The sequence below is a fragment of the Homo sapiens genome, chromosome 7 (assembly GCF_000001405.40).
Source record: "Homo sapiens chromosome 7, GRCh38.p14 Primary Assembly".
Lineage (NCBI taxonomy): Eukaryota > Metazoa > Chordata > Mammalia > Primates > Hominidae > Homo > Homo sapiens.
The window spans coordinates 40536289-40555504 of NC_000007.14; the positions used below are offsets into that span (position 1 = coordinate 40536289).

At 37.9% G+C, this 19216-nt stretch overlaps 1 protein-coding gene and 1 long non-coding RNA gene across 19 annotated transcripts in view, besides 1 other annotated feature; one reads left to right on the forward strand and one right to left on the reverse strand.

The window, feature by feature from the left end:
• The window catches only part of SUGCT (succinyl-CoA:glutarate-CoA transferase), a 903812-nt gene that overhangs the window by 401284 nt on the left and 483312 nt on the right, over positions 1 to 19216 (forward strand). The gene's annotated exons all lie outside the window — the stretch shown is intronic.
• On the reverse strand, positions 1720 to 10731 carry SUGCT-AS1 (SUGCT antisense RNA 1). Its single transcript, NR_183314.1, has 2 exons — positions 10426 to 10731; positions 1720 to 3394 (listed from the first exon to the last, which is right to left on the reverse strand). It is a non-coding gene; the product is annotated as an SUGCT antisense RNA 1 (long non-coding RNA).
• Positions 15322 to 15616: an enhancer, noted in NCBI's record as "tiled region #14136; K562 Activating DNase unmatched - State 9:DNaseU". NCBI's record gives its function as "activates a minimal TATA promoter and a strong SV40 promoter by Sharpr-MPRA in K562 cells {active_cell/tissue: K562}" and the evidence as "EXISTENCE:reporter gene assay evidence [ECO:0000049][PMID:27701403]".

Genomic DNA, 19216 nt, shown 5'->3' on the forward strand with positions numbered 1-19216 from the left:
TGTAAATGGGAAGGTATACATTCTGAATGTAAGAGAGAGGGATACCTTATGCTCTGAGACAGGCAGGGAGAAGGGGGCAGGGATTGCTGGTGTCTGAAGGTACGGGGACAGAAAATAGAATGAGTTCATGCTTTGTTTATTTTGTCAATTAAGTAGGAGGCAAGATCATTTGTGAATTGTAAGAAAAGATGGCAAGGTAATTTGCCCTAAGGGGTTTGAGAATGGAAAGTTTTGGAATGGCTGTTTACAATTGGATGTGAGATAGCCACATAGGGCCAGGCAAGTAGTTAGCTGTGTGGCGTTGAGTCCCAATAATTTAACAAGCATTTCCTGAATTCTTGCTACATGTCAAGTACTTGGCTAGGCTCTGGAAATACAGAGATGAAAGATCTGGTCCTGGTCCTTGGGAGTTTACAGACATATCAATCACTAGTTACCCTGTGAGTGCTGCTATGGCAGCTGAGAAGGGGAAAGTCTTTCTCAGCTTGGGTAGGAGACAGAAATGGATACATTTTCCCTGAAGGAGAGCTTCTTAAGCTCTCGTATGTGCTACAGAATCATCTTGTTTTCAGGCAAGTTAACAGCGGAATATTCTTAAGGTCTAAGTTATGCACTGAATGGCATCTAACAGTACAGTAGGAAATTAAACAACAAAATCTAAAAATAATGAACACCGAAATATTAGGCAGAGTGTTTCAGTTGTTAGTGACAAAGATCCAAAGTAAATTAAAGAGGGAAAAAATAATTGAAATTGTTGATTCACACCATTGCAACAATCTGGAAATCGCTTTTGGTTTCAGAAATGGCTATATTTAGGGGTTTAAATAATATCAACATGTCTCAATCTTTCTGTGACTTTGAGAAAGGAGCATCCTCTGTACTCCAGCAGTTTCATATTGTACACCTGTAAGCCTGTGCATTCCCCTTTGAGAAGTAAAACTTGCTCTTTTGCTATAGCTGCGTGGCAGAACTGTGAGTTCCAGGTTCAGGAAAGCTGTGTTCCCTGTCCCATCTGCCCACCGAATCTGATGAGAACATTTTGCCTTACCATTATAGTTTTAAAAAATGCTATTTTTTATATATTTAAAAATTTTAGGGTAAAATTATCAAATCTACAATTGAAGCTTCATCTTTATTAACAAAATAGCCACTAATTACTTGAACATAATTCTGAATACATACCATGCTCAATTCTAGTGTTGATAGTTAATAATTTAAACAAAAGAATAAAAAAATGTACATTAGAATCTTAAATGCAGATGTAGGCAAAGTCACATGTGCTTGTTTGAGAAAATTTTTGTGTTGTATAACTTGGAATAGATAAAGCATTATAAAACCTTCAGTGCAGGGTCCTCCTTAACATTCAAATGTACTGGACTGTTAACAGAGATCGTAAAGATTTTTAATGAAATGTAATCCAAATAACTATTAAACACTTTTCCTAGTTTTGTTTAATACTTTCAGGAAACTATCTGATCATGAAAATGTAATGTTCCTGAAGCGATTTTTTTAAGAAGTCCAAACATGGTCACATGAGGCTAATCTTAGACGATTTAACTACATTATGAGCAAGAGAATTGATGTTTCAGGAAGTTGAGAAAATAATGTATATATGTTTTATATAATCATTGAGAATCATTTCAGTGTACCCTATTGCATATATCTGATTTCTGTGTTCTTTTTTTTGGTTAGAATAATGAACACGATAGCTATGAAACATTGTTTCCTTTGCTTAGTTTATTTCGACTCTGTTATATCCTCATTTGCATTCATCTGTAGGTGAGCAATTAACATTATTATTTGTGTTGCTCTTAATTCATAAATATTATACCATAAACTGTGCTTTAGGTAGTCCAGTTTTATTGCTATGATTAATAACTATGATAATTATTTTTATCTTTACATCATTTAACATTTTGCCATAGGAAATCATCACTACAGTAAAGGTAATGAACATATTCATCCCCTGAGCATTAATAATGTTTAATGCTTGGATTTTGAAACTATGTTAGAGAGCAGTTTGAAGGATGAAGACATCAAGATTGTCACTGAATAGGAAATAAATGTCCTGGTATGGAAGAAATGAAATAATATAGAAAGTTTAAAGTTTCTGCACAACCCAGGGTAAAAAATGAAGGCTTATGACTCAGTCTTTGCAGTAAAAATATCTCCTCCCCTCCTTCCTAAAATGGTCTCAATTAGATAAGGTTACCGTTGTGGTCACCACATTTTTTGTAAAAGCAGGGCATTCTGTCCTCTAAGTTTCTGGTCAGAGGTTGAAGCAATGTAAAACAAAATAAGCACCATTGTTACATAAGCACTGCATGTAGACAAGGTATATTTAGCTTTGTAGGTAGTTCAGAATAATAAAGATTAGAATATGAAGGCTGAGCGTCTGGGGAAATTTTTTTAAAGAAATGTTTCTGAACAAAAACCACAGCACAGATTAAGGATTGGTGCTTACAATACAAAGAATGATAAGCAACATGCATTAAAATTTTACTGAAGGCTGGGCGCGGGGGCTCACGCCTGTAATCCCAGCACTTTGGGAGGCCGAGGCGGGCGGATCATGAGGTCAGGAGATTAAGACCATCCTGGCTAATACAGTGAAACCCCGTCTCTACTAAAAATACAAAAAAAATTAGCCGGGCATGGTGGCAGGTGCCTGTAGTCTCAGCTACTTGGGAGGCTGAGGCAGGAGGATGGCGTGAACCCGGGAGGCAGAGCTTGCAGTGAGCTGAGATCGTGCCACTACATTCCAGCCTGGGCGACAGAGCGAGACTCCATCTCAAAAAAAAAAAAAAAAAATTTACTGAAGACATTTTCTTAGTAGTGACTGTACTTGGAAGACCCCTGGGCTCTTTAAAGTGGTATGCAGATGAAGAGAGACTGACTAGGATGCCTTGGTTGTTCAGGGCAGAAAGAAGACACAGAGACAAAAGATTGCTGACCTATAAATGGCTCTAAATGGAAGTCCAAAACTTACTTTTCCCTGACTCGTCATTGAGATTGTACTTTTTATTCATAGTTTAACCTTCTTTACTCAAGATGATAAAAGAGCAATAGGAAAATCTGGGGAAAGGAAAAGATGGGTAGGAATAAAAAAATGTATCTATGAATGAGGTGAGAGGACACAGAATTCATGCTGTGTAGTCCAGCACATTCAGAAATGACCTCGAATTTGGTTCTGAGATTTCTAGCAGCAAGCAAAAAGAAGGCAAATCAGTTACAAGTGTCACGCGTTTCATAAGATCAAAAATAAACAGTTGTTCTAGAGAAGCAAAACTCTTCACTGGCACTAAAGGGAGACATTTCTTCTCTCAGTTGTTTTGTAGTTAAGGAGATGGTGGCTCCTCTTCTTTGGACTCCAATGTTAGGGAGAATCTTCTGATTCCTAGAATATTGAATAAAAGGTGGAAATCTCTTAATGATATTGTACAAAGTAAAAAATTTTGCCAACATCATTTTATCCCTAGAAAAATGCGTTTGACATTTGGAATTATGTTAAGAATATGTTATTGTTTCCAATACTAACTAAATACCAGTAGTAACCAAGGTGCTATCAAACTATGGATATCAGTGATATTTAACATGTTTCTGCTATTTTCCAGGTCTTGAAGTGCATTCACATTTATAATCACATCAAATTTTTATAGTATATCTGGGGAGTAGATAACATTATCCCTATATACTGGTTTTCCTACTGGTTTGAGGTCAAGAGACTTGCTTGAACTCACACAGAAATAAGTGGTATAGTTGGGACTAAAACATAGAACCAAATGTTTAAAATGTTTTTGTCACTACAGAAACTACAGTTCAATTTTGCAAGGAAAATCTTCCACTTACTCATTTATCATAAGTATAGGCATGTCTTTTCAATACTTATTTTATATATTAGCAGCATCCTTTTATTTATTGCTGTAATCTTGATAATATGGAATAGGGTGGAGAATAATGGGAATAATAAAATAACTATCATTTACCAAGTACTTTATCATTTCATTTATTTATTACAATAGCTCTGTAAGGTAAGGACCATTGTCCACATTTTGCAGATGAGAAACAAAATAGTAACAGCTGGTATATTGCAGAGCCAAAATTCTAAACAGGTCTGCCCAAGTCCAAAACCCTTATTTCTAGTTACCATGCCATGTGGCTGGACAGCTTTTATGATACACATCAAGGAAGTTGCCATGATGGTAGAGTTAATTAGGTGTAAGACCATTGTCACTCTGTCCTTACCAGGAAAGTTACAGAAAATACAGCTTCCTGCACTGGCTGCTAGGTAAATGCCTACTTACTCTCTGGGGTATATTAATGTTGGCAAACAGGGCAGTTTTCTTACACCAGGCTGTATACCTGTATTGAAAAGCAGAGCTTTGGAAGTTGCCAAGGCAGAACTGCCAGGCTGACTTCCATTTGGTCCATAAAAGTGAATAATGAAGTGAGTGTCCCTGCACATGGGACCGAGGAGACTGATTGTGTATGTCGCAGTAGAACTTTAGAATTCTGTGCATTAACACCTTCTTCCTTCCCTCCTTTATGGTATTTGAGATATTAAATGGATGCTGCTATTTTCAGTTCAGCTGGCCAAGGGAAGTCATGGGTTTGGCAAGAAGAGAGCAGTAAGAGCAATATGTAACTGTTCTCATCCACTTATACTTCCATTCCTTCCGTTATTTTTGTGTTTATGTTTTATTTGTTGTTTCAGGTGCCATGGTAGGTGTTACAGTGAGTGCAAAAATGAAGGAAAAATACCCTATACCTTAAAGGAATTGATAATTTGGCAGTGGGTGAAGAGGAAAGATAAGCATTTTAATTTAAAAATGCCCTCCAGGCTCTATAAGCTAAATGGCCAAGAAAAATAGACCCATGAAGATTAAATGCATTAGTAAGGAGAGAGATACAAATGAAAGCAATAATAAGATGTCACTAAAGTGACAATAAATAAAGTGGCAAGAGTTAGAAAACCAGAGAGAGCCAAGTAATGGCAGAAATGTAGAGATGTGGGGGCCAACATGGACTGCTGTTGATATTGCATAATGGCGCAGACATTCTAGAGAACGGTTTGTCATTACTTAGGCAATAAGATTACCTATTCCTGTGACCCTGCAATTCTTCTCTTTGACATATAGATTAAGAAAATCCTCAAACAGGTCTATATTGGTCAGATATGAACATATTCATTTCTGGTGAGCAGTAGTTGATTGTCAAAAGTGTGGGCAGTAAGCATTATGCAATAATTAGAAATTCCTGTGGAAACTTGGAAGGATTGTAAAAACCAGCATGGTGCAATCAAGAAAGGAGCAAGAGCTCTATCACAGAATCCAGTAATATAAATGAGAATGAATGTATAATACAGTACATATTTTTCAAAAGTTACATGAAATATATTAGAGTAGTTTCCTGTGGGAAGAAGAGTCTAGAGATTGGATTGGGATTACAAAGGAATGTAAATATAACAGAGGGACTATTCATGAACCAATAATTATAATGTTCCATTAAATAAGGAGTATGCTAAATTCACACCTGTAAACTAGAAAAAACAAAATCCTGGAGATTCAGAGAAGTCACAACTTGAAGAGTTTAGGATATATTTCATGGAGCGGGTGGCATTTGAGGTGTATCTTGAAGAATGGGTAAAATTTTAAACAGATACTGGGGAGGACAGGGAGCTGTCACAGGTAGGAGATAGTGGAATATATGAAGAAAGCCTTCCACCAGGGAGGAGGGTCAGGACCAGCAAGTGCTTGGCAATACAGTGGCAAGGGGCAAGGATCATTTAAAAGAGAGGAGTTCACTTTGGTTGGAGCAGAGGGTATGTGTGAAGCAAAGTAAAGATAATGAACAGTTATTTAGCACTATGTGTCAGGCATTGGCCTGAATACTTTATGCATAGTATCTAATTCATCCTCACAAAGGCCATATGACATAGACAATGTAATCATAACCATCGTCATCATCATCATCATCATCATCCACCTCACAGATGAGTAAACCATGTCTCAAAGAGGTAAATAACTTTTCAGCCACAGGTCCTGCAAATCCTAGAGTCATGAGGAACAGCCGGGTATAGCTCTACTCCCTTTCTCCAGGGATACCTCACACTTTTGAAAAACAGGGCTGTTCTCTGTATCCCTGTCAATGTAGATGCAGAGGGTCTTGGCGATGATGTGGTTAAAGTAGTGAAAACTCAGCCTTACACTAGGTATGGATTTAATTATCCCATAGTACTGATTAGTTTGATAGCAAAAAAGGATATTTGAGAAGGAAGCTGCCCATATTATAAAGGCCTGCCTATATAATAAAGGCCTTTTTGCTCATGTGTGTCTCATTGAAATGATGGAGTGGCTGTGCCAACATCAAGCTAAATAAGGAGAAAACATTTATAAGCACCCTTTTAACTCTGTTAGAGCTATGTATTCTGAAATCCCTTCAAGTAACAAATGGGTAAGAACAAAAGGGGCAGAATGGGCCTTTCGACTGCAAAGACTGAGGCTCAAGCTTTAGGGAACCCTGTTTATGACACTGATTCGATATAGTTAAACTCCGAGCTTCTATGTAGTTAAACATGGGGGAAATGGCCATATCTATAAGGTAGGATTATGAGTCTCAAGCATTCTGAAAAGGAATGTCAGACATGTCTTTCTGGTCAATGTAGGAATAGAATTTGCTTCATCGGCTAGGTGAACATTTAGGCCAATTGCTATGGCTGTGTCTTAGAAAGTGACATTTGTGACACGAGAAATAGCTAAGTATAGAAGCCCACCAGTGAACAACAAAAGCCAAAATGTCCATGTGAACTAATGTTTCAATACGTCTGTTTTTAATTTATGCCTTCCTTTTTCTGGCATCTCTACCCATTTCTCAAATTCCTCCCTTGCTATTTACACTTCAAAACATCTGGGATTGGGCTTCCAGCACCTGCTGTAGGAAGCAGAGATCATCCTGCTGAAAATATGATTTTACATGTTAACATTTAAATTAATATTCTTTATTTAGTTCAAAAACAGTATGTTTTAAAATCTAGTTCTCTAAAATATATGCAGCTCAAAAAATGATAACAAGTACAAAATTTTCACAAATGAAATGTGCAAACCTGAAGATCTTGATAAAATAATTTAAAAAATGAAGGCTGCAACACACAGACTGAAAACAGGCTCTTCATAGTTTAGGATTGGAAGACTCTGCCGTACATCTGTTTAACATCTTGCAGTTTGAAGAACCCTGCCTTGCAAAACCTTCTGTACCAATGACACACAGGATAAAAGGTTATATTATGACTTTCAGATGGAAACCTGCAAAAGTTTATCTGGTGGACTGGACCATTAACTCATGCTACTTTTGATTCTAACTGTTAAAAGGATTTTTCATGTGCAAATTATAATGAACTTTTAGGTTTATGTCAGAAAACACCAGAAAGAATTCTTACTTGGAGAGAGTGAACATGCTGTGGAATGAATAGAATGTTTTAGTTGTGATGTTCAAATGGAACTAAAATTCCCCCAGTAGGGAGTTTGTAGAGTGTGTTTTAATAATAAGTATATGTGCCTATATATTTAGTTGGGAACAAAAGCACCACATTTGAAATATGAAAGTATTCCAAACTTCCATCACTGCCAACATTTATTGAGAGTTTAGCTGAGAAAACAGAAGCCTGTTTTCAGGTATGGCTTCACAAAAATGCCCATATATTGATGTGACAAAAATCATACTTGGTAAGGAGGCACTCTAGTTTGGAGTAATGTAATATTAAAAATTAGAGATCCCTTTTGAGATCAGTTGACTACCAGAATTGTGTTGTCTTTGCTTACAACTTACTTGGCTTGGGTGAAGGTGGGAGGTTTTTTTTTTTTTTTTTAGGGCAGTTTCTGTACACACCCGGTGTCCTGTGTTAAGCTGTCATGTGGATGTGCATTTTCTTAATTTGTAGAAAGGAGATACTTCCTTTTTCCTCCATAACCCAGGAGTCTTCACTGCCAGGCTCTGGCCCCTGTGTCTCCAGCATTCAGCCCACAGATCCCATATATGCTGTGGAAAGCTCACTGTGCCGCAAGTGGGTGTGTGAGCAAAGGAGAGGTAGCATTTTCTTTAGAGACATCCACACCCTCTGACCCAGACGAAGGAAGAATCTTCTTTGCAGCGGGCTTGCTGCAAGGGACTTTCCATGTGCATTTTATCATGCCGAAGCTGACGGTGGTGACAAGTTCCACATTAAATCTGTCTTTTCTGAAATTTCACATTCTCTTCTTTTTGTAGGGAAAGTGTTGTAATACTCTATCGCTTGTGTAAACAGTCTCATTTAATTAGAGGCTGTCAATTTTCCCTTGTGTACCATGAAAGCTGCCTTGCCCCCACTCTGGGGCTGTTGTAGACTTTGGTTATGCAGTGATTACCTAAGCTTTGGGGAGCAGTGGGGTGTACATACTGACATTGGTAGTAGCCAGCAGTTTTCACTAGGGAAATCAGTTTAGTATACTGTTATTAATTTGGTTTAGAAAATAGCTGCAGAGTGCTCAGACAAATAAGACATAGCAGAACACATGGTGTTCGTTATTCAATAACTATCCTTCTGGAAAGGAAGCATGGTCTATTTCCCATTTGAGAAGGAGCTTACAAAAACTAGTAAATATGGAAAGAGGGCATGTACTATAATTTTATAGAATAGCTCTCCTCATGCACTTATACAGCCCTCTCCTCTCCCCCACACACTCCAATCACATTCCCACAACATGTCCACATAGAATGTATTCCCAACTGGTATTAGCATAATCATTACCACATTATAAACAAGCTGGTGGAAAAATAGCCTGAAAGACTTAGATGGTTTGTTTTATAAATGAAGGTGGGGGTGGAAAGCCAGATATTTTTGGAACAAATTCCTCTGTCTTTAGAAATGATAGCTCAGCTCTCATAAACCTCAACTGATAGCATGGACTGAAGAGGTGGAGTTGAAGAAAGTCATGACATATTCGGTATTTCTCAGTGAAGGTCAATGAAAGGTCTCCTGTGGAGCCTCTCTGCTGGAAGAAGTCCTCATGATAGAAATGTTGAGCCTTCCTTTCTTCTTTCTTACTGGAGCACACATGGAATACTTTTTGTTTTACTGGTTTAATATAGTTCTGTTGGTCAAGGTCTCTGGCTGTTTCTCCTTTGTCTATTGCATTTTTCCTGGAGTTGACGAGATGAGAAATCCTGACTTAATGGCTAATTCCAAGTTTACTGCCAAGACCAATAAAATATGATGTAAAATATGGCCTTACCTGAAAGCTTCCGGACATTAACGCTGTTAGATCCAGTTTTCATTGTAAAAAGAAACCAAGACAAAGGAAGGAGAATAATTTTATGAAAGTAAGAGTTGGTTTGTGTGTCCAGGTTCTAAGAGATCAGATAACAGGCTGAAAAGAGATTTGGTGTACCATCCTTTTTTCTTCCTTTCTTTTTCTGTTTGATTTTTACAGTTATATAGAGAATAACAAAGTATGCTTGCCACAGAAGAATCATGGGTGTGTTCTTTTAAACATTTGACTTTGGAAATACCCAGAGAACTGTGTGATGGGGATGAAGATGGCATTAATGAATGTGATTCAAACAATGCACTCTCTGTGGGCTTATTGCATCTGTGGCCTACTGATTTGTTTGTAAGATTGCCTTAATTTGATCAGATAGGCTCAGTCATGTGTATCTATAAAATCAGAATCATACATCATATGGATCACATGAAGTTCAACATCCAGGAAGTTAATCTTCAAGCCCAGCACTCAAATGTCTTTCACCTTTGACATGGGATTTCTATTTGGAATAAATTTAACAACACTCTTTCCTCCTGCCCTAGCTCAGACTTAGACACAGGACATCATTACATGTAGCAGACCAATGGGAAAAGAATTCACACGTATCACACTGGCATGGCTCTTTGGAATACTGGAACCTCACTTTAACTCCTGTGCGCTGTCCTCAAATTACATCAAGTGCTGTGGTTATTTAATGTTTCATTATCAATAAATTATTTGATATGAAATAATTATACTCATAAATTGGCTTTTTTCCTTAAGAAAGGTAATTAGATTAAGACAGGCCTATTTCAAAGTAATGTGCCCATTTTTTCATTATATGTTTGCAAAGTTAATAAAGTAATTGATATTGTAAAGAGTTTGCCAAAAGTCAGGGCATTAAAATTAAAGCCTGAAGTCCAAAAGAGCTGGCTTAATGTATTATTTATTGAGCACTGATGGAATATTCAGTGTAAGACAACAAAATTAAGCCAATGTATTCACAGTTTGAATAAAAGCCTCTAAATATTTTTTCCTATTGACAACAGACTCTTAGACTCATAGAATAGAAAAGGACCCTGGAAGATTTATGATCTATCAAATTCACATTATAGATGAAGAATCAGAGGCTTAGGCGAGGGCAGTGACTTACCCCAGGGCATAGTAGCCCAGCTGAAGTTAGAACTCAGTCCTGTTGATTTCCTGAGACTGACAATCTGCCCTTTTTCACGGATTCCACCCCAGGCCATCCACTCATCCTTTTTGCTCACTTTCTGCAGTATCTTTCTGGCTCCATATTTAGCCTCTGGCCTTGCCCAGCTCCGCTCTGCATGCCATTATAAGATTAACCTTCTTCAAGCATAATTCTAATCATAATCTTTTATGTATTAGAGTTCTCCAGAGAAACAGAAGCAATAGGAGACTTAATGTAATAAGAGATATATCTCCTATTGCTTCTGTTTCTGTTTCTCTGGAGAACCCTGACAACTACAGAAGAGACTAGTCATATGCATGTGACTTATGAGTAATTGAATCATGTGATCAGTCCCAAGATCTGCAGTTGACAAGCAGGAAAGCCAGGAAAGCTGGTGATGTGGTTCCACTTTGAGGATCAGAGAAGACCAATGTCCCAACTCAAACAGCGAGGCAAGCAAAGTTCCCTCGTAGCCTTTTTGTCCCCATTCATGTCTTCGGTTGATTGGTTGAGAGCTACTGTACTTAGTTTGCTGATTCACAAGTTAATCTCTTCCAACAACAAACTCACAGGCACACTTGGAATAATGGTTGACCAAATGTCTGGGCACCCTGTGGCCCTGTCAAGTTTATGCATAAAATAACCATCATACCTTCCTTAAAAACTTATAATGGCTATGTCTTTTTTATTATTATTACTTTAAGTAGAGTGTTTTATTTATTTCAAAACTTTTTTATGGACTTAATCTTATTATATCTAATTTTGGATTCAGAGAGAAAAGGAGGGAATGCCAACATTGAGTTCCAGATTGTTCTGAGATACTAAGATTATCTTTCAGCTCTTATTTGAATTACAAAAAGTAAATGCATACTATAAAAATGCAGATAATAGAGATAAACAAAAGAAGGAAATAAATGTTTTCCTTAATTCAAGGATCAGAGGTTACTTCTCTTTATAGCTTTTTAAAATTTTGTGTATGTGTAGTTTTATAAAATATTAGAAATAATACTCTGATATATTATCATTTTTCATTCACATACATATACCTATGAAAGGATTATTTTTAATCATTTTGGTGTATTTGCTTTATGGATATTTTATAATTTATTTAACTAATCCAGTGTTGAATATCAAGATTGTTTGTAATTTATGCTGAGATACAGCTTCATACATAGAGCTTTGCACATGTCTGTTTACTCTTTTAAAACAAATTCTTACAAGTGGGATTTTTATTTTCCTTATCATGTCAACTCTTAACTATTTTGTCTCCTTTTAGCCTTATAATCTTAGATATATTTTCTACAACTTTTTAACACAAGTATTTCATTTAGTGACCTCAGTTTTATACTGTTTCGCATTCTTTACTTTTTGTGTGTTTTAATTTTAATCCTCCAAATAAGCTATAAACTTCTTTCTTCTTTTCTTTCTTTCTTTTTTTTTTTTTTTTTTTTGTGATTAGGTCTCATTTTATTGTCCAGGCTGGAGTGTAGTGGTACAATCATAGCTCACTGCAGCTTCGAACTCATGGGCTCAAATGCTCCTCCCCGCTAAACTGTCTGAATAGCTGGAACTACAGGCACACCCCATGGCACACTGCTAATTTTTTAAAATTTTTAACGGTTTTTGTAAGACAGGTCTTGCTTTGTTGCTTAAGTGCATCTTGACCTCCTGTCTTCAAGCAACCCTCCTGCCTCAGCCTTTTTAATTGCTGGGATTTCATGCATGAACTATGGCACCCAACTTTTTCTTTTTTTAGTAGACTATTTTTTAGAAAAGTTTTAGGTTCACAGAAAAATTGAGCAGCAGATACAGAATTTCTCATATATACCACGTGCCCACATATCCATAGTGTCCCGTCATCAGCATTCCCCCACCCCCAGAGTTGTACATTTGCAATAATCAGTGAACCTACATTGACCCATCCTTATCATCCCAAACTCCATTGTTTACATTAGAACTCACTCTTTGTGTTGTACATGCTATGGATTTAAAACAGTGTATAATGACATGTATCATATCCATCAGTGTATTATCATACAAAATAGTTTCATTCCCCTAAAAACCCGCTGGCTCTTCCTATTCATCCTTTCCTATCTTCGGACACCCAATCCATGTCTTCTTATCTATTTATTGAAGGGAAGTATCATATTTTATATTTTTGTATTGAGTTTTTAAGTAAACATGCAATAATTGACTTGAGTGTATTGCCTAATAACCACCTTGTTACCCGGAGGCCCTCACTGAGCTCTTTCCTTGGGGCCTCTATATTCAAGTGGGCATACTCTTTGCCCAACAGTTTCTCCTTGGATCTCCTTCTGATGGCCCTCTTGGAACACTTGTGAATGTATGGATTACAACCTTCTTGTTCTCCTATTTCCCACCCTATTCTTTGGTTAAATTCTTAGTGAGGGTTTTGGCCTTTGCATTGAAAAGCTGATTTCTGGTATAAGAGGCTTCATTATGTTTCTGCTCAATATAAAATTCTGTCTCTTTCAAGGGAGACTTTTATGTGTTATTAGGTCTGATAATACACTTTCTGTAGACTTAGCTAATGAATTATGAATAGAAAATATTAAAAATAAAACTCTTTTGTAATGACTAGGAATAAACAATAAATCCTGGAATAATGACTGAATTTAGTTGAATGTCAAATTAGAGGTAGCCTTAAAGAAATGCAAGCATTTGGCTGAAATTGTCTAGGAGGAAACCAAAGATGGAAAAGACAGTGTACCTCTGCCTTAGGAATTTATTATCTAGTGTGAACATTGGACACACACAACTCTCTAGTATGTCAGTTTTCAGTGGTGATGCAGTCAGACATTAGCATAATGTGGTCGGAACATAAGGGCAAGAACAGTTATTATGATTGATTGGCCCAAGGAAAGATTCATTGAGAAAAAGACATTTGAGGAGGGCCTTGAATGATAAATATGATTTAGGTGTGTGAGTTGTGGAAAGCAGGTTATAAGTGTGGAAATAGCATGAGGAGGCAGTATAGACATTTGAATATACATAAATGTTTCTGAGTTGTTGAAGAGTCTTGTGTAGCAGAAGAAAAAGATGAGGGGAGTGGACAGTGGAAGATAAAACTGGCAGGGTAGCTCGGGGTCAGATTCTGAGGAATATACAGTGCTGTCCTAGAACAATTGAGAATTCATTTCATAGGCAGTGGAATGCAACTAGGAGAGGATTGTAAGGAGGAGATAGCATGTTTGGGTTTATTTCAGGATGATTACTTTGATCTTGTCACAAAAGATAGATTGCAAGGGCTAGACACTGGAAGCTGAGAGAAGGGTTGGGAGACTTTACAATCAGTGGTTTAGGATATCAACAATCATCAGTTGCTGTCTATGCTGGTGGCTCTACCACCTGATGAAGAGACTCTAAACAGTCATAAATTGTTATCTATGCTGGTGGCTCTACTACCCGATTAAGAAATTTAATCAAATTTAAATCCTCTTTGGTCTTGTCTGTGACTCTGGTCCTCTTCCTTTTATGGGATATGAATGCCTTCTCCTCTGCTATTGGTTGTATCTCTTCGTATAGGGAAGGACTATTTGTATTGTGTTCAGTGTTGCTAGTGTTACTAAGTATTCCTGCTAGCTAACAATCCAGAATTGTTCTTCCCTGGAATACCTAGTCTTTCATGAAGTTGCGTTTGCTTTCTGACACCAATTCTGCTCTATTGTACCTTTTCTCTTCTTGTATGAGAAAGCAGGAGTAGAGGCAGATTCCATCAAGAACTGTTTATGCCTGCTTGGGTAGAGGAGAGCAACCACACATTGAAGCATTTGTTATACATACAATATCCTTTCAGGGCTCTTATTCTGAGACTTATAACCAAAAGCATTTATTTCAGAACCATGTAATCATATGCTATGGCAAAAGCATTAACTAAAGGTACTAAATAATTATTTGAACAGTTAAATCAAATATGAATATACTTCCCTTTGTCCACCAGTTTCAATTCACTTAGCAGGTTCTTCCTAGCCAGAATAGCCATTGTTCTGTTCTTTTTCCATTTTACTCTCATTGTGTCTTTTGAGGTGTCGCAAGGGGCTCTAGATGTTTTTCAGAGTTCACATACATTTCATCTTTGTTCTTCAGGATCCATTTACTATAGTACTACAGCTCTCCTCTTCTGGCTACAAAATCTTACTGCAGCACTTTCCCTTATTCTTGCCTTCTGTTTTACCCATTTTACCTGTTTTCTTCTCTTTTCTCTTGTCTTGTCAGGTGCCTGTGGCAGCCTTCTCCCTGCCTTCCCTCAGGCAGCAGTGTGCCATGTCTCTGCAATGCCTTGTTGCTCGGAGGCCCTCACTGAGCTCTTTTCTCAGGCCCTCTGTATTCAAGTGGGCATGCTCTTTGCCCAGCAGGTTCTCCTAGGACATCCTCCTCTTGGAACACTTGTGATTTTATGGATTACAAACTTCTTGTTCTCTTAGTTCCCACTCCACCCTTTGGTGATCCTTAGTGACGGTTTTGGCCTTTGCATTGAAAAGTTGATTTCTGGAATAAGAGGTTTAAGTACGTTTCTGCTGAATATAACGTTCTATTTATTTTCCTTAGGGATATTATGTGTCTTTTGAGGGAGAGAATTGACTTCCAGGCTGAATGCTACCAGGAATACTATCCTCTGTAAACATACTCAACCTATACTCACATATAACTTTAAAACATCTTTAAGCTGTCTTTCAAAGTTTGTAAACAGAGAAATGGCTTAGTTAAATCACAGGGAAGTATACAATCTAAAACAGACAGAAAGAGAAATAAATATATATGTTGTGCTCGGTCATAATAAACATTGACAGTTCAGGCTGAAGTGTATCCATCATTCACTCCACATACACCCATGGGCACCATAAGTGATCACTCCTATGGATGGAAGGCAGTAGAAGGCATACATCCTGTCCACAAGAAGAGACCGTTCAGTTGGAGAGACAAACATAAACATGATGACTGATTACAATGTGGTAGGATAAGTGTCACAATACAGCCATGTAAAAATAATCTTGAAGACACAGATAAGAGGGTGAATTATTCTGACCAGTACAGGAAGCTGGTCTGAGGCAAGGGTGCTGAGTCAGCCAGCCTGAGGAAGACAGTCAGAGTGAAATCAAGGAGCTTTCACAGGTCAGCATTGTACTTGACTTGCAAGCTGTGAGAGGCTCCCTTCAGCTCAATAACAGAGCCTATCAGACTCATCAAACTTGAGCTACACCATCTTGGAATGCTTTATCAAACTTTAAGGATCCCGATTTTCTAGAAAACAAAAGCATCTATGAGGTGCTAGAGAATTGTCTTGAGAGTTCATAGGTCACCATTCCCCACGTCACAGCACACTTTCCCTTAACAGTGTGACAGGAAGGCGGCAACATCTGTTTCCATGTGAGTACACTGTGATACATTGAAAGGGACAGGCGGTGGTTTAGTGCAGCCTGCGACTTGTGAGGAATTTCATATGGAGAGAATTCTACTCTGTGGTTCTGAAATTAGGAAAAAGAGGAAGTTGCTTTTATTACTGTGGCATGAGAGGCCCCTCTGCCCTCCATACCTCTGTTTCTAATTTGTAACCATTTCCTGACTGCTGTTCCTGTTGCATGCTTTTTTCATAAGTTACTCCATGGCTTACATCAGTTAATGGCTGGGGCTGCACTCTCTGAGCCTGGAGCGGAGTCCCTGCACCTGGGCTCACCCTACTAATAGATCACCCAGGGCCTGGTGATGGCCTGCGAGGACAGCTGGAATGGCTCAACTCCCCCACTCATCTGTCATGATTACCATGCGTTGGGGGTTTGCCTGGCTTGTTCCACTCATTTCCTTTGTCAGCATGACAAAGATCAAAGTGCAAGTAGGATACATAAATGATAACCTAGAACTTTGCCCAAACACATAGGCTGCAATCTGGGTGACATCTTCCATCACACTTTCCCCATAGGCATGGAAGGAAAAGGGCAAATTATGTTTTAAGTGTAGCCTTTCTTGCCCAGCCCCTTCCAGCCCCCCATCCCCACCCCCACCACCCAGCTTTGTTTCCTGAACCCATCATCGTTGTATTAATCAATTGGTTCAGGGATTTGAGATTTCCTGACATAATCACAGGATTGGAGAAATCCTGATTTCTGTTTATATGAAGCTGTGGCTGTGATTGCAGACCTTGTACCTGGCTGAGCTTGCATCTTTCGTTCCCTATTCAGAGTTTGAGATGCTTCTGGCCATTCTCCTAAAGAATGGGAGTGAATGATCTTTGCATGTCTGTTGAGCAGAAGATATTTACTTGCAGAATTAAAATAATACTGATAAAAAGTGTTCAAAATGGTAACAATAGTTTGTGGAAATATTTGGGCAGGTAATAATTACTTTTGGACTTGTGTTCCCCATTCAAAAACAAAATACCTTGCAGTGTTTCTGAGTTTACTTTTGTCATGCTGTATACGTTCTCTCTTCAAAATGAAAACTGATGCATTAAAGAAAGAATGAGTTGAATTTGAGGTATGGGTGCAAATTAGGGAACTCCTAGGAATTAACTAAGGGTTATTCTTTCAGAAAATAACATTCAGATAGTGCAAAGGGTCTTTAGTTAGGAAAATGTATATGATCTCTGGATTGATGTTGTCTTTAAGAGTTGTATCATACAGAATAGACATGGAAAATTGACCGCGAATGATGTAACCCTTGATCAATGCCATTGCACTTGCATGTTTTCTCTATCGAGATAATTTTTTTATTTTTTATAATAATATATGAGAATTTCTCCATGGATTTACAGAAATCACAGCTAATCCATGTGATTTCTTTCTAAATATAGATATTTATGTATTTATCTATATCGATATATGTCCACCCTCTACACGTAGACTGATAATCATTAACTGATAGTAAAAAGCTAAAAATGTAGACACTTTCCACACCATCTACCTCGTTTACTAAGCTGCCACATTATGTGTGTGTGTGTGTGAGTGTGTGTGTGCATGTGCACAAGCTGGGCTATGTTTCAAATGTTCTGTTTTCTTTCTCAGAAACTATTGATGTGTTTTGGAAATATTGAGGATGCCTCCAATGCGAGTATCCCCTATATCAGATAGTGGGGCAGCCCTGCCCTGGGAACTTAGACAACTCAGATCAGATCTTCCCAGTGGGCTAACCTGGCACCTAACTTCTTCGTGTTTCATGTTCCTCACCTGTAAAATGGTGATAACAATGACTATCTCAAACAAGGACTGTTAGGAGGATTAAATTAAAAAGGCTAATGTGTGAAGAAAAGTTGCTTAGTGCATTGAACTCTGACTCTGGGGTCTGCAGATCTGGATTTGAATCCTGGCTTTTCTACTTAAAAGCTGTGTAACTTAGGCAATGCATTTAATTCTTTGTGCTCAGCAATAAATGTTGTAAGGCATGTAAGTGGCATAGTGCCCGACACATTATGAGCACTCAATAAATACTTGATATTAATGTTAAATTGTAAATCTGCGCAGATGATAACTTTTTTTGATGAGCTGATAATAAGATAATGCCTAACTCTGATGGTGGATGGTTTCCCTAAATGTAACAACAGATCTGGAGAGTTTAGTGGCATGTAGATTGTCATTTTGTTCATTCATAACCTGCCAACTTGTTAGGGAATGAATCTTTTTGTAGGTTTAAGCTAAAAGTGTGATTGCATGCATTTGTCTTAAAGACAACTGGAATCATTTAGCTTGTTCATGTTTTAGAACACTTCCATGGTAAATGTGAGAGTTAAACAGCATAGTGTAGTTGTAGCTTCTCTGTACTATGTTTTATTGTGTGGGTAATTTTAATGACCAATGTCTTGAGGGTAAGAATGACTTTGGTGTTTCAGCTAAAAAGCTGACTTTTACAGAAGAGGTGTGTTGTATTTATTGATATCTACAGTCTGCATAAAAATGTTCCCTTGACTTCCCTTAGACTTGTGTTTGTCATATTCTTAATTTATGTCATATATGTCAGTTTCTCATATATTTTCCTCCTATCAACAGTTGTACTTTTGAGCCTAACAGATTTTTCCTCTTCCAGCATCTCTCCTTTCTAATCCATTTTGCAAAACTTGACAATCATTTACCTAAAGCATGACTTCTGTTTATTTCACTCCTCTGCCTAATGGTTCCTCATCCTGACCTTAATGCCTGTCCCCATCATCATACATTCATGTCACCATTCTGCATATCCTGGCCCATGAAACTGCTATTCCTTCTGCATATCCTGGCCCATGAAACTGCTATTCCTTCATAAACTATACTTTAATATATTAATGGTCACTGCTCAACAGTTTTTTCTGTAGTAAATATCTGGTGTTCTATATAGTATTTGACATATGATCTCAAAGTAGTACGGCCTGCCCTCATCCTCTTTTGACCAGTCATTTTATGAGGCAGTGTGGGTATTTATGAGCCCCCAGAGCTGGACCAGTTCCCAAAGGAAATGGAAGATCAAGAACTCTGAGAACTTCCAGGAAATGGATGGGAGGATGGTCAGCTCTCGATGGTCCAGGATGCACTCTCTGATCAATGAAACCCTTCCTCTTTGTCTTTTTTTTTTTTTCTCACTGATTAGGCCTCATGGAATTCTGAGCCTCAAGCTTGTTCTTCACAAAAGGCTGCTCTTTGGATGACTGTCCCTTCATCTAGTCTAAACTCCCTTTTCAGTCCTGGGTGTTATTCATTCCAGACCAGGAGTGTGTATGAGTGTGATGCTGGGCTGGTGGGTCCCAGGTGGCCTGATGTCTAGCGCT